Genomic DNA, 22,695 nt, shown 5'->3' on the forward strand with positions numbered 1-22,695 from the left:
CCCTGGGGGATGAAGGATGGTAAGGAGAGAGGGTTCAGCATTCCAGCCAGCCATCTGAGTAGCCAGAAGTTGAGGCCATCTTGGCTTCTCCAGTCCAGATGAAAGCTGCATGAGTGAGCCCAGTCCTCACCACATGGAACATAGACAAGCCATCCTACCAGGCACTCCATGGAATCATAAGCAAATACGTAAGTATTAAGACACTAGGCTGGGTGCGGTGGCTCACACATGTAATCCCAGCACTTTGGGAGGCCAAGGTGGGCGGATCATGAAGTCAGGAGTTCGAGGCCAGCCTGGCCAACATAGTGAAACCCCATCTGTACTAAAAATACAAAAATTAGCCAGGTGCGGTGGCATGTGCCTGTAGTTTCAGCTACTTGAGAGGTTGAGGCAGGAGAATCGCTTGAACCCAGGAGGCAGAGGTTGTGGTGAGCTGAGACAGTGCCATTGCACTCCAGCCCGGGTGACAGAGCAAGACTCTGTCTCAAAAAAAAAAAAAGAAGACATTAATTGGCTGTGTGCTGTGGTATGTGCCTGTAATCCCAGCTGCTTTGGAGGCTGAGGTGGGAGGATCCCTTGAACTCAGGAGTTCAAGACCATCCTAGGCAACATACCGAGACCCCATCTCAAACATAGCACTAACTGTATACTTCACTTTTTTTTTTTTTTTTTTTTTTTTTTGAGATGGAGCCTTGCTCTGTTACCCAGGCTGGAGTACAGTGGCACGATCTCAGCTCACCACAACTCCCCCTCCCGGGTACAAGCAATTCTCCTGCCTCAGCCTCCCGAGAAGCTGGGACTACAGGCATGTACCACCATGTCCGGCTAATTGTATTTTTAGTAGAGACAGGATTTCACTGTGTTGGCCAGGCTGGTCTCAAACTCCTGACCTCGTGATCCACCCGCCTTGGCCTCCCAAAGTGCTGGGATTACAGGCGTGAGCCATCGTGCCCAACCCTTCGCTTTTTACTTGATTCTTTGGCTGAATGTTTTTTCCCTCAAGTCTTGTTCATATCTGACTAAAAACAGAATGCCCACTAGGGTTAGTCAACCTACTGTTATTAAATGTTAGAAAAGGAAATATAAAGGGAAGTCAAAGTTGGGTCTAATTGAGAATAAGACTAGTGAAATCTGTTTTAAGGATCAGAAGACAAGTGTTTGTTGATTGACTAAGAAGTTCCAGGGATGATAACCAAAGTTACAGGTGCAGGAGTTTCTGAGAGATGAGAATGTGCCAATAAATTCTGCGCCTTATTCAGGGGTGACACAGGTTGAATTCCCTGAGAAGCAGATGCTGGGACAGAACTGGTATAAGGAAAGACAGTGGAGGAAATGGGGAGTGGAATTGATTAGGGAGAGCTGTCAGACCACAATGCAGACCTGATAAAGTCTCTGCCAGTCCAGTGGGAAGTTCCAGAGCAAATATTGTTCATTAGAGTCCTATGTTCCAATGGCTAAGCCCTTGTACCTTGCTCAGTTTTGGGCCAAGGATTGGAGAAGAGCAGTACAGCTGGAGGTTGTCAGCTAACCAGGCTCCTTGCACTTGGTAGCCAGTTCTTTCTTGAAGGAACATCTCAAAAGCAGCCCATCTCTGTGTCTGCCAAACAGAGTGTGATGGATCTTATACAGGTTTTTGTTTTTTTTTTTTTTTTGAGATGGAGTCTTGCTCTGTCTCCCAGGCTGGAGTGCAGTGGCGCGATCTCGGCTCACTGCAACCTCCACCTCCCGTGTTCAGGTCATTCTCTTGCCTCAGCCTTCTGAGTAGCTGGATTACAGGTGCCTGCCACCACACTTGGCTAATATTTATTTATTTTTGAGACGAAGTTTTGCTCTTGTTGCCCAGGCTGTAGTGCAATGGCATGATCTCAGCTCACCGCAACCTTCTCCTCCTGGGTTCAAGTGATTCTCCTGCCTCAGCCCCCCAAGTAGCTGGGATTACAGGCCACTGCCACCACGCCCAGCTAATTTTGTATTTTTAGTAGAGATGGGGTTTCACCACGTTGCCCAAGCTGGTCTCGAACTCCTGACCTCAGGTGATCCACCTGCCTCGGCCTCCCAAAGTGCTGGGATTACAGGTGTGAGCCACGGCACCCGGCCTTATATAGGTTCTTAAATGGCAACTGCATTGGTTCCTAAGTTGTATAGGTTGAGTTAATATACTTGAGAGTGGTTATTGTGAAAGCTGAATTCAAGAGAATTGGATGCTCCCTTTCCCTTCTCCATTTTTGAATTACAAGTTTGAATTCCCTCTCTGATTCCACAGGACATTGTCCATTATCTGTCATAGTTCCTGTTACCCCCAAATAAAAGTATTTGTTTAAAGCTAGGCAATATGGTATGTGCCTGTAGTCCCAGGAGGCTGAGATGGGAAGATCAGTTAAGCCAAGGAGTTGGAGTCCAGCATGTACAATACTGAGACCCTGTCTCTTAAAAAAAAAAAAAAAAAAGTATCTGTTTACATTTTCCCACTGAGACTGAGCTCCCCTAAGGGCAGAAGTTTCTCTTACAGTCAAACATCACATAATGATGATTTGGTCAACTATGGACCATGTGCACAACAATGGTTCCATAAGATCATAATGGAGCTGAAAAATTCCTATCATCTAGTGACGTTGTAGTTGCCATAATGTTGTAGCACAGTTACTTCATTTTAAATAAATTTAGTGTAGTCTAAGCATACAGTGTTTATAAAGTTTACAGTAGTTTACAGTAATGTCCCAGACCTTCACATTCACTTACCATGCACTCACTAACCCACCCACAGCAACTTCCAGTCCTGCAAACTCCATTCATGGAAAGTGCCCTATATAGGTGTATCTTTTTTTATTGTGTTTTGTATTATTTGTATTATTGTATTTTTACTGTACCTTTTGTATGTCTAGATACACAAATACCATTGTGCTACAATAGCCTACAGTATTTTGTACAGTAATATGCTGTACAGGTTTGTTGCCTAGGAACAATAGGCTATAACATATAATCTAGGTTTGTAGTAGGCTATACCATCTTGGTTTGTGTAAATACATTCTATGAGGTTTGCACAACAACAAAATTGCCTAATGATACATTTCTTGGAATGTGTCCTGGTCATTAAGCGAGGCATAACAGTATTTACCTTTGCATCTAACCAACACTTGGTCTCTTTTTTAATTTTTTTTTTTTTTGAGACAGAGTCTCCCTCTGTCACCCAGGCTGGAGTGCAGTGGCACGATCTTGGTTCATTGCAACCTTTGCCTCCCAGGTTCAAGCAATTCAAGTGATTCAGGCAATTCTCCTACCTCAGCCTCCCGAGTAGCTGGGATTACAGGCCACTACCACCTGGCTGATTTTTGTATTTTTCGTAGAGATGGGGTTTCACCATGTTGGCCAGGCTGGTCTCGAACTCCTGACCTCAGGTGATCCGCCCGCCTCGGCCTCCCAAAGTGCTAGGATTATAGGTGTGAGCCACCGTGCCCAGCCTAAAAATCATTTTGACTGGGAATTGAGAACTCTTGGTCTCTGAAACAAAGTAAAACCTCAAAAGTCAACTGAATGAGCAAAGAAGCTGTCTCTTGCTTCTTATAATAGCAATGACTTTATTCATCCAATTTGAACTAGATCCTCTGTTTCACGGAAAATAAGTGTTTTGCAAGCTGCATTTATTTACATATTCATTCCTGCAGGTTAGACTTAATTCAACTTCCAAAAAGACTGTCCAGCAAAAAGTTACTGAAAGTGGGAAGTGGTGGGGCTGAGCGTAGAGATAGGGTCAGTTATAAGAAGGAAGAAATTAAAGGCTCTAAGAAGAGAAACAATAAATTAGGGATGAAGGGAGAAAAGAAATAGAAATAAAAGCTATCAAATAAGGGGAGGTCAATGAAAGGAGAAAAAGCAGGACAGGCGAGAGAAAAGAATGAAAAGGAGGCAGAAAGAAAAGAAAGTAGAGCTGTGAAAAAGCGGGGTGGGGATTCAGGCTCAGTGCTGGCCTGCCCAGGGAAGTATCCATCAATAAAAGCCTCACTGACAGCTGTTACCATAATGGGAACTGGCACCTAAAGAGAGGGCAAGTCTGGTTTAATTAGTTAAATGGCATTATCTGTGTCCAGTGGGGGTGGGAGAGGTTAAGGGGATGGAATGATTGGTGACCCACCTCCTTCCACAGGCTGAGAGAAAAAGCAGATCTACAAAGACTTGCCAGAAAGTAAAGATTCCCATGTGTTCCTATTTATCAGTTACATTTTAAAGGGGACTTGCACTGCTCTGGTGGGGGCAACTAGAATTAAACATTGGTTCTCTATCTTAAATTAAGTATAGGTTTATACTGGGCATGGTGGCTCATGACTGTAATCCCAGCACTTTGAGAAGCCGAGGCAGCAGATCACTTGAGCCCAGGAGTTGGAGACCAGCCTGGCCAACATGGTGAAACCTTGTGTCTACGGAAAATACAAAAAATTAGCCGGGTGTGGTGGGGCACACCTATAGTCTCAGCTCCCTGGGAGGCTGAGATGGGAGAATCATCTGAGCCTGTGAAGTTGAGGCTGCAGTGAGCTGTGATTGCACCACTGTACCCCAGCCTTGGTGACAGAGTTAAGACTCTGTTCCCCCACACCCCCCAACAAGGAATAGGTTTACTCACCTCTTTCCCTTCTTACAGGCAGCCTCACATCCAGAGTCTTAAATGATGTAGCAGGAAGCAAGTGCCATCTCTGATCAGTGAAAGTAGTGCAACGACTGGGATTCTGCCTACCTGGGTTCTATTTTTGTTTGAGACAGGGTCTCACTCTGTCACCCAGGCTGGAGTGCAGTGGTGCTATCATAGCTCATTGCAGCCTTCATCTCCCACTTCAGCCTCTTGAGTAGCTGGGACTACAGGCACTTGCCACCATGCTCAGCTAATTATTATATTTTTTTGAGACAGAGTTTTGCTCTTGTTGCCTAGGCTGGAGTGCAGTGGCATGATCTTGGCTCTCGGCAACCTCTGCCTCCTGGGTTCAAGCAATTCTCCTGCCTCAGCCTCCTGAATAGCTGGGATTACAGGTGTGCACCACCATGCCCAGCTAATTTTTTGTATTTTTAGTGGAGACGGGGTTTCATCATGTTGGCCAGGCTGGTCTCGAACTCCTGACCTCAGGTGATCCACTCGCTTCAGCCTCTCAAAGTGCAGGGATTACAGGCGTGAGACACCGTGCCCCGCCAGCTAATTATTTTTTTGCAGAGACAGGGTCTCACTTTGTTTTCCAGGCATGTCTTGAACTCCTGGGCTCCAGCGATCCCACCCGCATTGGCCTTCCAAAGCGCTGGTATTATAGGCGTGAATCACTGTGGCTGGCCCTACCTGGGTTCTTAATCCAACTTTGCCACTGAGTGACTTTGGGCAAATCATTTTACCAGTTCCATCCCTTTAGCACTAAGAGTCAATGATATTATAATCTTACAAATCAGTCTCCTTGGACTCAGGTAATCCTCCCACCTCAGACTCCTGATTAGCTGGGACCATAGGTGTGCACCACCACATCCAGCTAATTTTTGTATTTTTGGAAGAGGCAGTGTTTTGCCATGTTGCCCAGGCTGGTCTCAAACTCCTGGGCTCAAGCAATAGGCCTGTCTTGACCTCCCAAACTGTTGAAGTTACAGACGTGAGCCATTGTGACAGGGAAAAAAAAATATATGTTTTATTTGACCCCACCCCTATGTGCTTCCTCTGAATTCCTAATGATAAGAATCCTCCTTTGTCTTGTTGGTAGAAATTATTAGGGTTGAATTACATTTTTTTCTTTCTGATTATGACATCAGATCTCAAGGATCATAAAGTTTAATTCACCTTGGTTCTACAGATTCGCTGATGTCAGAAGGCTGATCTGTGGTTTGAGAAAGACGGAAAAGAAACAGTTTCCAACCTCCAAACAAAACCCACAGAAAAGCCTGGTGGTGGAAGGTTCTAGGTAGAGAAAATCTAGACAATGACTGGACACAGTGGGCAAATGCCTACCTTTTGGAAATACAAACTCCACAGGGAACAATTTCCACAGAGAAGTTACATTAACTGAAGGTTGTCTTAGGACAAGGCTGAATAAAGTAAATATTTCAACACCATATGTTCAGCTTTGGCAGGAGATGTAGGTGGGAAGGGAATCTCAATTTTGGGGAATGCCCATATCACACCCCAGCTGGCTATGTAATCATGAAATAAGGAGAAACACATAAATATTTGGTTAAAACACCTTTAATGATAGAGGGAAAGACACTAATATCTCCCGTCTGTTCTTGACATTTTACTAGGTTAGGAAGCTCTGGAGCCTACAGCTTGAGGAGAAGCCATCGTTCAAGTCAGTCAATAGCAAAACCCTCACTCTCTCCTCCTCAGAACTCCTGTTCCAAATGATCCTATGTTAAGAGTAAATACTACAACTCATTACAAGACGGAGAGGCAGGGAGGACGCCACCTGGAGCTGGTCTCCCAAAGTCTGGGACTCTTAAGAACCAGACAATGACAAAGACACAAGCCCCAGCCTACGGATAGGCAAAATGGGTAGGGGTCTTGAAAGAGGAAGATAAGGAAAATACAAGGGGCCAGGGAATAAAGGAGGGAGTTATCTAAAACTAGAAGCATACTAGTGCTAGGAAATCCCCCATGATCCCTGGTACACCTCTGCACACTATGTCACTATTAGCCCAAAAGAATATTAACGAGAATGTCCAGACATTCACAAGAATTTGAGGCCTTTTCCCTTACATCATGTCCCTTTCTTAGTCACATAGGTACCAGCAAGCCCTATGTTCTAGCAACATTCCTTAACTCTCTCATCATTAGTTCATCAACCATGCTGACCAAAAATGCTCCTTAAAGATACGAACTTCACATTTCCCAAATATCTCCTGGGAGACCTCTTGGCAAGAAATCAGCTTGTTTCCCAACTTTGAGAGGTCATCATGAATGAGAAGCTGGAGAGGTCTTGGCACACTGACCAGCCAAAACCTTTACCTTAATGTGACCATCAGGGGATTTACTGGGAAAATTTTCCTATGCCCTTCCTTCATTTCTCCCTACTTCCTAGGGTTGGGTCACCAATTACTGGAGCATCTTCAGTACCGGCACCTTCTGGAGCAGGGGGAGGAAGAAGGAATGTACAGTTTGCTACTTCTTGTCTATGATGGGCTTCTCAGGCACTGCCTTGGGTGCAGGAGGCTGAAATAGGAGGGGGGCTGTCTTCTCCTTGGCTTCCCTGGATCCCATTGTTGGAGGCACCTTCCCAGCCACAGTTCCTAGGCCAAACAGCACTGGTGGGGCCAGGCTTGGAGTGGTAGTGGAGGTGGAGCTGGAATTCCAGGGCTTCATGGGCAGGCCATTTGACAGGAATGCCACATACTGGTTCTAGAAAGATAGGGGACCCATACCCACCAGCTGAGCAGAAAGGTCACCCCAGAGGAGTGGCACTGGGCCCTCCAGAGACAGCTGCCAGCCCTTTTTGGCTAGGCTGCAATGCCAAATGTAGGTGCTCAGGTGCACCTACCAAAGGGAAAGGGAGAGGAGAGAGGAGGGGGAAGAAGGGTCACACCAGGGAAGCTGGAGAGGGTTCCCCTTGAGAAAGCTGCAGAGAATCTATGTTCCTCAGGTACAAAGAATGAGGAGGGAAGAAAAATTCCTTAGGGGGCCATCCCCTTGTAAGCACAGTAATTTCCAAGCTCAGGGACTACAGAAAAGCCACTAGGGACATAACATGTTAAGAACTTAGAGAAAAAGACAAAATCAGGGCTCATAACTCTGGGAGGTCCTTTTGTGAAGCTGTTTCTGCTCTGTGGGACAAAGAGCAGCAGGTACAGAAAAACAGGCTCATGGGATCGTGGGGTCATCTTTTCGGGGAAAGGGGGAGAGCCCTGTGGAGGTGATGGAAGGCGAACAGCCAGGGACTAGAGAAAGAGCAGCAATATTCTGAGGGCCATGGGGGGCAAAGGGCTGTACCTGGTGGTGTGCCAGGAGCATATGCTTCTTGAGGGTAGCCCGCTCAAGAAAGCCCTGCCTGCAGAAAACACAAGTGAAGAGCGGCCCCTCCTTGGGGTGGGTCTTCTGATGCTCCTCCAGAGCTGCCTGGGAGGGAAAGGCCTGGCCACACACTTCGCAGGCCTTTCTGCTGCTGCTCTCTCCTGGCTCCTTTCTCATTGCCTCCTGCAGGCTCAGCTCCTCTACCAAGGTCACGCTGGTGGCTTCCCCTTCTGGGGTGAGTGCTGATGCCGGACTTGAGCTTCTCTCCGGTTTGCCCCCCTCTTCCTTGCCTCCTAAAACACCACTGCTTCCCTGCTCCATTGGCTGAGGCTGATCCAGGCTGTCAGGTGGTGGTGGTGGTGGCAAAGAAGACTGTTGAGTAGTTTTCTCATTACTGTCCATCTCCTTCCCAGCTGTGGCTGCTGCCGCCACTGTCCCCACCTCCTCCTCTGCCCCAGATGCCTCTTCTGAATCACCTCTCACTGATATTGCCTTCTCACCTCCACTCTCTGAGCCTCTCCCTGCCAGGGAATCTTCATCAGTCACATCTTCCTCTTCTTCCTCATCCTCCTCTTCCTCCTCCTCAGACAACTCCTCTTCCGGTGATGGCTGCTGGGACTGCTGCTGGGGGAAACTCCGTGCCCCGGAGACTGTAGATTGCTCGGAGCCATTCTCCTGAGCAGCTCCTCCACCTTCAGGGAGTGCAGTACCACCGTTGGGGATCTGGCCCCCCAGGTGCATCCGGACATGCTGCTGCAGAGTGACAGCATTGGTGAACTTCTTCTGGCAGATGGGGCAGGAATTCTGTGCCCGGGCAGCTGGACTGGCCTTGTGGCCCACGAAATGTGCACGCAGATTACCCCTGGTGGAGAAGGCTCTGCCACACACTTTGCATTTGAAGGGCCTCTCACCTCCATGTTGGCCATAATGAAGGCGTAGGGCCCGAGGACAGCTAAGCACTCGGAGACAGATGACACACTGGTTAGGTCCAGAAGAGGCTGAGGATGAAGGTGCAGGGGCAGAGGTGGTGGGGGCTCCTGAGGCAGCTGAGGTCACCGCCACAGCTCCTTGCCGGTCAATCTTTTCTACCAGTTGCTGCAGCTTTGATGTCTCAGAGGGTGAGGCCCCCAAGGGCTCTAGCACATAGGGGAAGGGGAAGCTGCCAGTGGACTTGAAGTGGTTGGTAAGCAGTGCCCAGCTTGGTAGTGAAGTCACCAACTTACTTAGTTGCATGCGAGTTGCCGTGCTACTTTCTGCCACTCCACTGATGGCTGAGCCCTCACTCCCTGGGGGGGTGTTTTCATCAGCTTTATTCTTGGGTTCCACTGCTTTCATGAGCACAAACTTATTGAAAGCAGGGAGTCCTGGAGCCGTGGCTGTGCCTGCACTGGTGGAGAGCAGAGTCAGGCTCTCTGTGGCACTGAGTGCTGTTGTGGAGGCCACCAGAGGCTTGCGCTCAACCCCTCCACCTGGAGTGGCTGCCTCCTCCTCGGCCTTCTCTGGTGGCACGGACATACCATAAGGCAAGCCACTGCTGGTAATGACATAGTCTAGGTGCTCTGGTACTGGGTGTGGGTTCATCTGCACATGTGGGTACTTCTCACGATGCCGGTGGAAATGCACTTTGAGGTTGCCACGGGTGGTAAAACGGTTTCCACAGACATTGCACTTATAGGGCCTCTCACCCGTGTGGGAACGAAGGTGGATCTGCAGGGCACTGTCACTGCCAAATACTTTGGCACAGAAGCGGCATTTGTGCCTTCCACCAGGCTTCTCCAAGGGACCCATCACTTCTCCGTAGCTCAGCTCACCACTTCCATTCTTTGGCTTCAGGAGCCCTGGGGAGGCAGTGGCCTCAAGGCCTCGGGCTGCCCCAAGACACTGTGCTGCCAGTAGTCCCGTGGTGCTTGGGAATGCCAGATGAGGCGAGGCAATCAGCTGATCTGTGCTGCCTGGCAAGGCTGGGGAAGGGGCAGGGGTGGGTTTGTGGCTTCGCCCAACCCCTCCAGCAGAGAAAGGATGCTGTGACCCCAGTGGGTGGTAAAGGTGGAAGAAGGCCTGCTTGGGCGTTTCTGCCCCTGAAGAGGAAGAGGAGGAGGAGGAGGAAGATGCCAGTGTCTTGCTGGTTTGGACAGGCTTGATGGGGCTGAAGAGGGGTAGTAGGGGCTTGGTGGAAGAGGCAGTCCCTGTCCCAGGTAGCTCTGAGGGACTGGCAGGGGCACCCACCGTCTGGCCTAAGGAGCCAAGCAACAGCACCTGCCTGCAGATTTGCTCAGTCATCTGCATCTGATGGATCTGCCGCTGCTGCAGCACCCGTAGCTCTTCCAAGATCAGGGGGATATTCAAGTGGCCACTGCCTACCCCTGGGGGCGGAGGGGGTGGTGGAGGAGGAGGGGGTGCAGGGGTCGATTCTGGAGGTAATGGGGTTGCTCCCAGCTTGGGACTGGCCAAGATCAGGCCCCCGCCTCCCCCAGCCGCTGTACCTGTGGCAGCGACCAGGAAATGCCCTGAAGACTCCTCTCCTCTCCTCTCTGGGCCCCAGGTGGGATCCGTGGGCACGGAGGACCCAGAATCTGGGGGGTTGCTATGCTCTGTGTCCATGACCTGAGGATTATTGTGACCCTCAGGCCGGGGTTCAGAGGAGGCCGAAGAGTTGTTGGGGTTCTCCTGGCCCCCAATTATCACCATTACAGGAGGGTCAGTAGAACATGCGTTCTGGTGGGCGAGGAATTCAGTTGGGTCAGTGAATTGTGCGCAGCACTTGGCACAGACTTGGGGGTGATCCTCCTCGCTAGCATCACCTGGGGAGAAGACAAGGAGAGAGAGCGTGGGTGGCGCAGTTGGGTTGGGTATACCGAGGCTCTAATTAACAAGGAGGCCAGTAACCGCTAGTTGGGGGTGGGGAGATGAGCTCACCATCAGGGCCATGCAGAAGTCTAGAGCTCAGGCCTGATCCGTGTGGACAGGAGACAACCCGGCATGGGGCAGGGGGGTGGGGAGGGAGGAGGGGAGGGGGGCAAGAGCATGCTACTCCCCTCCTCAGCCACCCTCCCTTCCCCAGGCCACAAGCGAGTTCACGGAATAGGTGTGGGGACAGGGGCCTACGCAGAGAATCATGCATTTTCTCCCACCCACCGAAAGTCTTCGCCGCCCCTGCGCATCCCCCTCCGCCCCCACCCCTGCCCAGCCCGACCGACCCTACCGCACCTCCGAGCTCTGCCGGCTCCCCGCAGGGCACCCCGAGACGAGAGCTCCTCTCGGATTCGTGCGCCATGGTTGTGGGGGAAGTGGAGGGCCAGGTGGGGTGGGAGACAATGGATATTGGGATTGAGGGAGGCGATGGCCGCTGGGTCTGCGGCAGCCTCTGCACCCAGCGGCCCAGACTGCGGAGATGGAGATCGGCAGCGGCGGGGGCAGGGAGCAGCGGCGGAGGGGGAGGGGAGCGAGGAGGCGGGGAGAAGCTGGAGTGAGAAAGCGGGGAGAGGGGAGATCTGGGAGGAGCTGATGAGGAGGGGAGTTTATGGGGAGGAGCTGCTGGGGAGGGAGGCGGGAGCTAGAGGAGGCGGGAGAAGGGAGCGCTAGCGGGGGCGTGGGGGCGGGAGCTCAGAGCTCGGGAGAGTTTCCGGAGGCGCAGTGACAGGTGCTGTGAAGCACTGCGGGGGTCCACCTTTCCCGGTCCCTGGCCAGCTCCCCCCATCTGCAGATGCCTTTGCCCAGGCCTACCCTCCTCCCCCCGCCCTCCCCTCCTAAGCTCTAGGGGCACAGTGGGAAACGTAGCCCTGCTCAGTGGAGCAAGGCGATAGGCTTCTCTTATTTTTCTTTGGATAAAGGATCCGCTGAGCTTGGAAAAAGTGGATTCCAGAGAGGGTCGTCTGATCTCCTCAGAGGTCTGAGGGCCAGAAGAAGAGGGGGAGATCAGAACATCCACTCCTCACCAGCACACACACCCCAAAATATTCGAAGTTTTGTCTCGTCTTTCTCACTTCCATTCCCACCCTACCCCCATCCCTCTCCACAAAAGAAGTTTCTCAGGGTGGGCGGCTGCAAGGTAGAATTTCCCAGGAAGTCATTTCAGGACTCTCTGCGGAACACTAAGCCCCTTCACTCCCCGCCCCTCCTCCCCCTGAATAATAGCTGAATGCAGGTTACTCCGCAGATCGCCCAGCCTACACAACACCTAATTCATAGAGTCCATGCTTATTTAATAAGCCATCTCCTATTTAGTACCCTCTTCCTCCTCTATTCTCCTCTTGCAACATTCCTCACACCGTCACTATTAAAGACAGTGGGTTTGGGGAGACGCTAGCCTGCAGAGGCCTACGGAGGCCCACCCAGCTCTAACCTGGGGGGGAGGGGAGCCCTCTTGAAACAATGCGGTAGGAACTACCAGGCAGCCCTCAGTGTCTAAAGCCCTTTCAGCCCCAGCCTGATTTGAATGCTTAGAAATAGCTAACACCTGCTCACCATCACAGAGGCAGCCTCCTATTCAGACAGGATAAGTAAGAATAAAATGCCTCCTGGACCAGGTATTCTGGCATTCTCTTTTTTACCTTGAAATGAGTCTTAAAGTGCTTCCCACTTCCTAAAATACTTTCTCTTACATGCAGGAAGTGACCACAAGTCCTTGGTTTTGTGGTTTCCCTGGGCATCAGTAAACCTAAATTGTTTTAATCCCAGTTCTATTCTTGCCTCACTGATAAAACTGAGACATGGTGGTCAGTCACACCATGTTATACCACCGTTTCCCTCTTCATAAAGTGGTAATATTGTAGCTGCAGTATTTTACTCAGAAAAATATTGTGGGGACAAAAAATTGAAAAATTGGACAATATTAATGTGTAAACCAGGTATGGTGGTGCACACTTGTAGCCCCAGCTACTTGGGAGGCTGAGGCAGGAGAATTGCTTTAGTCCAGGAGTTTGAGGCTGCAGTGAGCTGTGATCACACCTGTGAATAACCACTGCCCTCCAGCTTCGGCAACATAGTGAGGCCCCATTACTTTAAAAAAAAAAAAAAGCCGGGCGCGGTGGCTCACTGTAATCCCAGCACTTTGGGAGGTGGGCAGATCACGAGGTCAGAAGTTCCAGACCAGCATGGCCAACATGTTGAAACCCCGTCTCTACTAAAAATACAAAAATTAGCTGGGCATGATGGTACACCTTTAATCCCAGCTACTGGGGCAGCTGAGCCAGGAGAATGGCTTGAACCCAGGAGGTGGAGGTTGCAGGGGGCTGAGATCGTGGCATTGCACTCCAGCCTGGGCAACAAGAGTGAAACTGCGTCTCAAAAAAAAAAAAAAGTCTAAAAAAATTAATATGTACATGTGAGATTTTTAAAGTTTGGGGAGTCCTGAATTTAATCAATGAGATAATTTACATTGTCAGTAGCAAAATAATCGAAGTAACCTTAAATACACATATACTAAAATTAGATCTGTTTTCCATGTTGTTTGTTAATCTTATTAATTTCTGAGGTAAGATATTGGCTAATATCAGCAGCATATTTCAAAGGTAGGAAGTCTTTTATTGCAGTGGGTGGGGGAGCTGAAACAACCTATTTAAAATATTAGTAACATCCACTTTACTTCTCAACATAAATTTTGCCTGTGTTTTTAAACTTAAAACAGTTTACTGAATTATGTTTTGAAACTTCAGATAATAAGGCTCTTAGCATTGTGAGTCATAATTCTGAAATGGACGGGTTCTGTGCTTCCAGGCCTGGACTTACAAATGAGGGAGGGGGGTTCTATTTCAGTTTATGGCAAGTCACAGTTTTGTGCAATGTGGTTTATTTTTACAGATAAGGAAACTGAAGCTTGGAGAGGTTAAGTGACTTTTCCAAGTTCACACAGTAATTCAGTGAAGCAAGCATTCAGAATTTTGACTCCTGTCCAATGCTTTCTCAAGCACATCAACTTTGTATGGCTTCCCTAATGCTAGAGAAAGGGCCCTGTGTGGCTTCTACCTGCCATTTGCTCCCTGGCCTTAGTCAGGGAGAGGGAATCAGATGGAGGCTTTCTACTGAGCATTTGTTAATTAGCATTGAACATTTGATATCCAGTTGCTGTTTTGTCAAGTCTTCTGACAAGAAAAGAAATCCTTTTCTTTTCATCTTCTCCTGGGAAACACTGTCCCCTTTCTTGCTCTTTAATGAAATGTGCTTTCTGATGCGTAATTTGATCTAAGCTCTTCTTTAAGGTAAATTTAGTCCCTGGTGAAAGGTGACTGGATCAACAGCCACCTGTAAGAGGAACCCTCCATTTCTCAGTACTTTGCACTCACTGCACATCCTGAAAAGGGGGGCAGGATTCTTACACAAACATGAATGAAGTCACAAATGCAGGAATAAACTAAACTGGTAATGGTGTCCCTAGATAGCAGATAAGGTGAGGTAAGCTATCTCCGGTCAAATGCAAAGTCCGGGGTGGGACTAAGACCTGGACAAGCTTGTTTAAACTTATAGAGAGCTGAAATGACAAAGAAAAGGGAAACCAGGTGGCTTCCCTTCTAAATCTAGTGTCCCATCAGATTGCTTCTTTAGGCTTCAGAGAGAACTGTTCGGGAGAACAAAGAGAAAAATAGGTGAGTTGTATGTAGCAGGGTGATACATTTGAACAGCGGTTTTCAAATTTTGCTGCCCATTAGGATTACCAGAAGAGAGTTTTAAAATTTTTATGTTTAGGTGCAGTGGTCTGTTCCTTGTAGTCCCAGCTACTCTGGAGGCTGAGGCGGGAGGATCACTTGAGCTCAAGGGTTTGAGACTCCATCTCAAAATCTCAAAAAAAAGAAGAAAAAAAAAAGAAAAGAAAGTTTAAGCACAGTGGGTACCTCATGCCTATAATCCTAGCACTTTTGGAGGCCAAGGCAGGAGGATTGCTTGAGGCCAGGAATTTGAGACCAGCCTGCATAACATAGTGAGACCCCCATCTCTGCAAAAGCAACCAACCAACCAAACTTAAAAAAAATCCCTGTGTCCAGGCCACATCCCAGGCTAATTAATTCATAATCCCTGAGGATAGGATCCAGGCATTAGTTTGATAAAGCTCCTCAGGTGATTCCAATGAGAATACAAAGATGGTGACACAATGATGAGACCCACATGGAGGACTGCCCTTTCCATCATACCTTCCACCCTGCTCCTCACAGATCTTACCTGAGCTAAACTTGGCCACAATTGGGACACAGACAAAATGAACTCTCAATGCTAAATCTTCCCATCAGGTCCCCTCCCTACAGTGCCCACAACCACACATTAACTTCCTTGTATCCTTTCCCAGTGAAAAATCTGCTTCCATGAATAGAATTTGATATAATTTACACCTTACTGTAAGTTTAAGTGATTGCATTTCTTTCCCAGGTATGGGTATCTTGAAGCATATTTTTTTCTTTTTTAATTGATATTTGAGCCATATTTCTTTTTTTTTCTTTCTTTTTTTTTTTTTTTTTTTTTTTGAGACGGAGTTTTGCTCTCATTGCCCAGGCTGGAGTGCAATGGCATGATCTCGGCTCACCGCAACCTCCACCTCCCAGGTTCAAGCGATTCTCCTGCCTCAGCCTTCCCAAGTAGCTGGGATTACAGGCATGTGCCACCAAGCCCGGCTAATTTTGTATTTTTAGTAGAGATGGGGTTTCTCCATGTGGGTCAGGCTGGTCTCAAACTCCCGACCTCAGGTGATCTGCCAACCTCGGCCTCCCAAAGTGTTGGGATTACAGGCGTGAGCCATCGCGCCCGGCCACCATATTTCTAATTGTAAGGTGAAAGGCTTTGTTCTACAGAGTTCAAGCATCATCCACCCATTAAGGCTGGAGTGAAGTGGCACAATCATAGCTCACTGCAGACTCTACCTCCCAGGCTTAGGTGATCCTCCCACCTCAGCTTCCTGAATAGCTGGGACTACAGGCATGCACAATCATGCCCAGCTAATTAAAATATTTTTTTCTGTAGAGATGAGGTTTCACTATGTTGCCCAGGCTGTCTGGAATACCTGGGCTCAAGGGATCCTCCTGCCTTGTCCCCACAAAGTGCTGAGAGTACAGATGTAAGCCACTGCCTCTGGCCCACTTACTTATTATTGACACTGAACAATGCTAATTGGTAGCTTCCATAATTATGAATTGATTCTGTAACTATTGCTACTGACTACTTCTTAGGGAAATATCTCATCTTCTCCTCCTTACTCCTCTTTCCTAAATGTAGACACATAATAATCCTTTGCAACCCAGACCTACTAATGTAACTATGGCCTATGTAACACAGTAGACTAACAGGCACAATGATTGGTACACCTGGTGCTAAGTGAGAAAAAGATATTTGTTTCCAGAACAGGAATATCTTAGATCAAACATAAGAATGTTCTTTTAATGAAAATTTCTTTGACTTCAAAGGACTCAACACTTAACATGGAATTCATACCATTTTGGAGCTGGGACTTCAGAGATCTGACACTCTCATTGTCATTGTGCACAGTGATTCAGACCTGAGTTAAAGTCCCAGCTCTAGAACATTCTAATATTTGTGATCTTGGGAAAATTTCTTAATCTCTCCCAGAGTTTGTTTTCTTATTTTTTTTTGGGACAGAGTTTCACTCTTGTTGCCCAGGCTGGAGTGCAATGGCACGATCTTAGCTCACCGCAACCTCCGCCTCCCAGGTTCAAGCGATTCTCCTGCCTCACCCTCCCTAGTAGCTGGGATTACAGGCATGTGCCACCACGCCCGGCTAATTTTGTATTTTTTTAGTAGAGACGGGGTTTCTTCATATTGCTCAGGCTGGTCTCAAACTCCCAGCCTCAGGTGATCTGCCCACCTCGGCCTCCCAAAGTGCTGGATTACAGGCATGAGCCACCGCGCCTGGCCAGCCTTTTTTTTTTTTTTGAGACGGAGTCTCGCTCTGTCGCCCAGGCTGGAGTGCAATGGTCGCCCAGGCTGGAGTGCAATGGTGTGATCTCGGCTCACTGCAATCTCCGCCTCCTGGGTTCAAACGATTTTCCTGCCTCAGCCTCCCAAGTAGCTGGGATTACAGGTGTGCGCCATCACACCCAGCTAATTTTTGTATTTTTAGTAGAGATGAGGTTTCACCTTGTTGGCCAGGCTGGTCTTGAACTCCTGACCTCAAGTGATTTGCCCACCTCAGCCTCCCAAAGTGCTGAGATTACAGGCATGAGCTGCTGTGCCCGGCTGATTTCTCTTCTTTAAAATGAGGGTACTGCCATACAAAGGAAGGAAATTCTGATACATGCTACAACATGAATGAACTTTGTAAACATTATGCTTTCAGACAAATTTGACTTTAATTGAGAAAAAAAGAGAAAACATACTAAGTGCAATAAAGCAGACACAAAAGGACAAATATTGTATGATTCCATTAGTATGAGGTACCCAAACATTATATGAGTCCATTAATATGAAATTTGGCAAGGTCACACATACAGAAAGCAGAGTAGAGGCTAACAGGGCTAAGGGAATGGGAGAATGGGGATTTATTGTTTAACGGTTACAGTTTCTGTTTGATGATGAAAAAGATATTGAAACAGCAGTAATGGTTACATAACATAGTGAATGTACTTAATGCCACTGAATTGTACACTTAAAAATGGTTAAAATGGTAAATTTTATTACACATATTTTACAATAAAAAAATTTTAGCCAGGTGTGGTGGCATGCACCTGTAATCCCAGCTGTTCAGGAGGCTGAGGCAGGAGAATCTCTTGAACCCTGGAGGTGGAGGTTTCAGTGAGCCGAGACGTGCCACTGCACTCCAGCCTGGGCAACAGAGTAGGACTTGGTCTCAAAAAAAGAAAAAAATTTTTTTTGTAATAATAAGGGAGTTGGGGCTGGGCGTGGTGGCTCACGCCTGTAATCCCAGCACTTTGGGAGGCCAAAGTGGGCGGATCATGAAGTCAGGAGATCGAGACCATCCTGGCTAACACAGTGAAACCCTGTCTCTACTGAAAATATAAAAAATTAGCCAGGTGTGGTGGCGGGCGCCTGTAGTCCCAGCTACTTGGGAGGCTGAGGCAGGAGAATGGTGTGAACCCGGGAGGCGGAGCTCGCAGTGAGCCAAGATCGCGCCACTGCACCCCAGCCTGGGCGACAGAGCGAGACTCCGTCTCAAAATAATAAAAATAAATAAATAAATAAATAAAATAATAATAATAACGGAGTTGGGAGGAAAAAGAGGAAATGCAAAAAGGGCCTAGCACAGTACCTGAATGCTCCACAAATATTAGCCATGGGTGTTAGTTATTATTTGAATGTCAAAAGCTGAATGAAGCCCTGGGGTAAGAAAGGTCACATGTGCCCAAGGTCACATAGCTTCAAGGTCCACACTAGATTGAAAACCAAGTTTTCTGTTTTCTTATCTAGTACTCTGTAACACCAGGACTGAGATACTCTCTATTCCAAAATGTGTTTTTTCTGATCTGGGAATACCTAGGTTGAGTGGCCCAGGGATCAATAACCTGAGAGATGAGGCTCTTTACTTCCAAATGTAAACAGAGCCCCCAAAACTCTACCTTTGCCTTCTTTCCTCTCTTGCTGTTCTTGCTATCTGCCAACTTCCATCTAAAGTACTCCCCTCTCTCCCTCTAGATCTGTTTGGCTGCTGTCCTGGTTTCTTCTTCTCACTAAATATCTGGGTTTCTGATTGTTTCCTTTATTTCCCAGATGTACTGGTTTGCATTTTTCCCCCAGTCACATCCTTTGTGTTCTCTAATCCAGATTTCTAGACTCTGTAGGGGAGAGAGAAGGTTTTTTTTTTTCCTCTCTAGAGTTTTTAAGTGAATAGAGTATTTCCTGCCCATCACTTATATGCAATAACTGTTCTGTTAGGTTTTGATGCTCTGGTTAGGGAAGCTGAGCAAAAACGGCTGGAAAACAGATTTTTCAGACTGTTTCTTGGTGATGTCTTAGGTCACTGCAGAATTTTGGCTTTTAAAATATGTAACAAAGGCTCAGCATTTGCATGTTGTATATGGCACATATTGCTTACAAGAAGGCAAAAGACTCCTGGAAACATTACTGGCACCCTAGACTACTGACTAAATGTCTTCTGATACTCATGATGATATCCATAATTTCACAGGTACACCAAAGGATACATGTGCCCCTAAATAAGAGCCCTTCCTCCCTAACTGTGGAGCATGCTCTGGGGTAGAAGGAAGTCAGATGCCTGAAGATCACATAAGTGAATAGAAACCCTGTCTATAAAAAATTAGGGAAAAGGAGAGCTCTCATTCTGTTTTGCAGAATGGATGCTGCCCCATTCATGATTAAGAAAATTTATTAATTTAAAAGAAAACCAGAAAATGTGAAATTTATATATTATAAGCTTATAAGATCCAGGAGGAATTTTAGATACGATCAAATAGAGCCACCTCATTTTGCAGATGAGGCCCAATGACATCCAGATCATAAGTAGCCTAGGATCTTTCACTCCAGGGGAATTCTGATGAGAAAATCCTTAGGCTTTCTTACGGTAGATCTTAACAGAGGGTGCTACTGCTTCCTTGCTCCTTACATTTGTTCCTGCCTTTCATAGCTCAAAGGCAAATTTTCATCAAAAATTTGTTGATGCCATTGGGTTTAAACCTTTACTGTTTCTATGGGGATGGCTTTGTAGCAGCATTACCATGCCCCCAGGTGGAAGCTATATCTTAAAGGGCTTGAAAATCCATTCAAGACAGCCGCTAAAGATAGCTTTTGACTCCCTCACAGAAGATTTTTCCTCAGCTATGATATGGGGAATGGGTGAGCAGATGGAGGAAGTAGGAAGAAGAGGAGAGAATGCTTCTTGGGGGTTTGGAGGGGTGTTCAGCATAGTTCCACAATCAAACCAGCAGGAGAGCAGAACTGTGAGGCAACTCTGGGGAGGAGTTGAGGCTCTAGGGGAAGTCTCCTGTAGAGCACAAGCAGGAAACATCCGGCCTATAGCAGCATTAAGAAGGGCTAATGTGTCTCAGGAGGGAAGGATGCCATCACCATAGAACCTCTAAATATGGGCACAGTAGGATCCCAGAAAAGCAGTGTTTCGGGGAGGATGCGTTCTGCCCAAAACATGTCTGTTAAGGTTATTTTGTAGCACATGGAGCGCTGATTTGACCTCAAGTTTTTGTTTTTTAACAGGTGGAAAGGCAAGTTTAATCTACAATTTTAGTCGCCACCAATACACTCTCTTAGAGCTTTTCATGACACGTCTCATAAAGAAATGCTGATGGCCGGGAGCGGTGGCTCACGCCTGTAATCCCAGCACTTTGGGAGGCCAAGGCGGGCAGATTACGAGATCAGGAGATCCAGAGCATCCTGGCTAACACGGTGAAACCCCGTCTCTACTAAAAATACAAAAAATTAGCCCGGCGTGGTGGCAGGCGCCTATAGTTCCAGCTACTCGGGAGGCTGAGGCAGGAGAATGGCGTGAACCTGGGAGGTGGAGCGGGCAGTGAGCCAAGATTGCACCACTGCACTCCAACCTGGGCGACAGAGCGAGACTCTCTCTCAAAAAAAAAAAAAGAAAAAAAGAAAAAGAAAAGAAAAGAAAAAAAAAGAAATGCTGACGTTTGCCAAGAGGTTCCTGAGTTTTGGTCATACTACAGCACTTGCAGGCAGTGTCACTGCATTCACATATAATGATAATAACGATATTCACACATATTAAGCACTTATTTATGCTAGGTATTTTTCCAAGGGATTTACACATATTAACTCATTTAGATTTTCACAACAACCTAATGAGGTAGCTAGTATACACATCTTTATTTCACAGATGAGGAAACTGAAGCATAGAGAGGCAAAATAAACCAGCCAAGGTCACATAGCTAACCAAGTGGTGGAGCTGGGATTTGTCTAAAAGTCTGGTTTCAGAACCCTTGTGCTTAATCCTATACTATACTGTTGGGTGTATCAACTGTATGCTAAACAGTTGCCTGTCTGGAGCCAGGACTTCCAGACTTTCAGTCTGCACATATGGAGCCATACCACTGACAAGTATGTCCAAAACTTCTTTGATCCTAAGAATTACCTGGACAATTGCAAAATATATAGATTCCCACACCCTGGCTCAGATGTACTCACAATCAGGCAAGTTTTTAAAACCCAGGTTTAGTGGGTTTAGTGAGCACTACCAGCCAGCCCTGAGCATTAGGAAATTGAAGTTTTTGTCCTGATTTTGCTTCTGTCTCTCAGACTCTGAGCAATTTCACTCTTCAATTCCCTGCTTGCTCTACTGTCTGCCTGTCACTTAACGGAATGTTACAAGAATACATACAATTTTTCCCCCTCATAAGGGACACCTGTTGCTTCAAAAACACGGTATCCTCATAAAATGATATGCATGTAGTAACAGGTGTATTTTCTTGCACTTCTTTTGTTTTGTTTTGTTTTTTGCTTTGCTTTCCTTGAAGCACAAACCTAAGCCCCTCATCCAGACCTAGCCTTCAGCTGTCCTCCAGGTGACACGCATACACACCCCAAACCAGGCTGCATTCTGACCGACCTTAGCTCTCTCCCTCTGGGAGCTCTGATCGGCTCTCAGTTCAGCCCAACAATGAGAAACTTTTTTCTCGTCTCCCTCAGGGGAGCCTTCACGTTTATCCAATTCATTCTCTTGCAACCCAACTCTCCAGAAAGAAAAGGGGGGAAAATCCCACCCCGAAGAGACGGTCTTCAGGTCTGAGGACGTTACTTAGCAACGGCACAAAGACCAGTGAGCAAAGGGAGACCTGAGGAGAAAACTCTTGGGTGGGGAGACAGAGCCAGTTTGAAAACTCCATTTCATCCAGAGAAAAACAAGGAAAACACAAACAGAATCAATCCCAAGTAACAAGCGGGGCTTCTCCCCAGCGCAGGTCATCTCTTACTCCCTGCATCTCAACTCCTTCAAACCCCCAGTGACCAAGTCCGCCCCCGCCTGGTTTCGCCCATGGCCCGAGTGCCCTCCCCTTGCCCTGGCCTGACCCACACAGGCTTGGACTTAGGGGCCCCCACCCCTCCCCAGGCACCCACCGTTCTCAGACGCGCTGGGACCTTCGCAGTCCGAGATTAACTGTTGGGGTTTCCGCTGCTTTCGCCGAGACATTCCCGGGTAGAGAGTTGGGAGAGGGAGGGGCAACGCTCACTTGGTCTTAACCGGGGTGACCTGGTCTCGTCTCCCCCTTGGGTCCGAAGCCAATTGATGCCTCTCCCCCAGCGCAAATCACTGTGAAGCAGAGATGTTCTTCTTTCCCAGAGACACAGACTCTCTCTCTCTCTCTGATTCTCTGTTCTTGACTCTCTCTCTTTCTCTCTCAATCTTTGCAAGTCTTTAAAGGGGAGACGCCCCCTTTTTTTCTTCAGCTTCTTCCCTACGCTTCTGCAGCTCCCATTGTAAAAGCAAAAATCCTAATCTTTCCGCACACTCTTTTCTTTTGTACTGCAGAGGAAAGGATTTAACCCTCTCCTCCCTGCAAGGGCCCTGGGCCTCTCCCTGTGCTGTCTGTTCAGAAACTGTCCCTGGCTTGTTTTTCTAACTCTTCTTCCAAGATCTTCACTGTGCTTTTTGGTTCTGTCATATTTCTATGCCCCTCTGATAATGTAGCTGCTTTTAGGGTATAAACTGAAATAAGAACCTTCTGATATGCCCTGATTATGAGTAATATATGTATAGCTCTTTATAATTTATAGAATATTTTCATTTATAACGTGTTTTGAATGTTATAACTCTGAGATGAACACAGTAGGCTTTACTACTCCTATTTATAGCTGAG

At 47.4% G+C, this 22,695-nt stretch overlaps 1 protein-coding gene across 8 annotated transcripts, besides 7 other annotated features; it reads right to left on the reverse strand.

The window, feature by feature from the left end:
• Nucleotides 4,475-4,974: an enhancer, noted in NCBI's record as "H3K27ac hESC enhancer chr14:21987519-21988018 (GRCh37/hg19 assembly coordinates)". NCBI's record gives its function as "activates a minimal SCP1, AML or CMV promoter by ChIP-STARR-seq in primed H9 embryonic stem cells {active_cell/tissue: H9 hESC(primed)}" and the evidence as "EXISTENCE:reporter gene assay evidence [ECO:0000049][PMID:30033119]".
• On the reverse strand, nt 6,187-22,228 carry SALL2 (spalt like transcription factor 2). Of its 8 annotated transcripts, none has more exons than NM_001291446.2 (4): nt 21,956-22,228; nt 10,444-10,761; nt 7,940-10,038; nt 6,187-7,351 (listed from the first exon to the last, which is right to left on the reverse strand). In NM_001291446.2, the coding sequence occupies exons 1-4, from the start codon at nt 22,026-22,028 to the stop codon at nt 7,115-7,117; spliced, it is 2,727 nt and encodes a 908-aa protein (NP_001278375.1). In that variant the 5' UTR covers nt 22,029-22,228; the 3' UTR covers nt 6,187-7,114. The 8 variants fall into 8 exon arrangements, 6 of the variants coding, with proteins under 6 accessions (NP_001278375.1, NP_001278376.1, XP_011535366.1 ...); NM_001291447.2 differs by lacking the exon at nt 21,956-22,228 and adding an exon at nt 11,168-11,453; NR_111966.2 differs by lacking the exon at nt 7,940-10,038.
• Nucleotides 8,684-8,870: a silencer, noted in NCBI's record as "fragment chr14:21991711-21991897 (GRCh37/hg19 assembly coordinates)". NCBI's record gives its function as "represses an EF-1alpha promoter that drives an FKBP-Casp9 reporter gene in an ReSE screen in HepG2 liver carcinoma cells {active_cell/tissue: HepG2}" and the evidence as "EXISTENCE:reporter gene assay evidence [ECO:0000049][PMID:32094911]".
• Nucleotides 9,386-10,213: an enhancer, noted in NCBI's record as "H3K27ac-H3K4me1 hESC enhancer chr14:21992413-21993240 (GRCh37/hg19 assembly coordinates)". NCBI's record gives its function as "activates a minimal SCP1, AML or CMV promoter by ChIP-STARR-seq in primed H9 embryonic stem cells {active_cell/tissue: H9 hESC(primed)}" and the evidence as "EXISTENCE:reporter gene assay evidence [ECO:0000049][PMID:30033119]".
• Nucleotides 11,044-11,871: an enhancer, noted in NCBI's record as "H3K27ac hESC enhancer chr14:21994071-21994898 (GRCh37/hg19 assembly coordinates)". NCBI's record gives its function as "activates a minimal SCP1, AML or CMV promoter by ChIP-STARR-seq in primed H9 embryonic stem cells {active_cell/tissue: H9 hESC(primed)}" and the evidence as "EXISTENCE:reporter gene assay evidence [ECO:0000049][PMID:30033119]".
• Nucleotides 11,331-11,390: a silencer, noted in NCBI's record as "silent region_5583". NCBI's record gives its function as "represses an Ori minimal core promoter by ATAC-STARR-seq in GM12878 lymphoblastoid cells {active_cell/tissue: GM12878}" and the evidence as "EXISTENCE:reporter gene assay evidence [ECO:0000049][PMID:35858748]".
• Nucleotides 11,872-12,699: an enhancer, noted in NCBI's record as "NANOG-H3K27ac hESC enhancer chr14:21994899-21995726 (GRCh37/hg19 assembly coordinates)". NCBI's record gives its function as "activates a minimal SCP1, AML or CMV promoter by ChIP-STARR-seq in primed H9 embryonic stem cells {active_cell/tissue: H9 hESC(primed)}" and the evidence as "EXISTENCE:reporter gene assay evidence [ECO:0000049][PMID:30033119]".
• Nucleotides 19,137-20,002: an enhancer, noted in NCBI's record as "OCT4-NANOG-H3K27ac-H3K4me1 hESC enhancer chr14:22002164-22003029 (GRCh37/hg19 assembly coordinates)". NCBI's record gives its function as "activates a minimal SCP1, AML or CMV promoter by ChIP-STARR-seq in naive H9 embryonic stem cells {active_cell/tissue: H9 hESC(naive)}" and the evidence as "EXISTENCE:reporter gene assay evidence [ECO:0000049][PMID:30033119]".

This window comes from Homo sapiens, chromosome 14 (assembly GCF_000001405.40).
Source record: "Homo sapiens chromosome 14, GRCh38.p14 Primary Assembly".
Taxonomy (NCBI): Eukaryota; Metazoa; Chordata; class Mammalia; order Primates; family Hominidae; genus Homo; species Homo sapiens.

Excerpts from the sequence above, each read along its gene's own strand:
- SALL2 (XM_011537064.2), bottom strand. The coding sequence starts at position 22,028 with ATGTCTCGGCGAAAGCAGCGGAAACCCCAACAGTTAATCTCGGACTGC. Across the intron at positions 10,762-21,955 it reads TCCCAGCGCGTCTGAGAACG|GTGATGCTAGCGAGGAGGAT; the intron begins GTGGGTGCCTGG and ends TCTTCTCCCCAG. Across the intron at positions 7,352-7,939 it reads TGCTCCTGGCACACCACCAG|AACCAGTATGTGGCATTCCT; the intron begins GTACAGCCCTTT and ends CTATCTTTCTAG.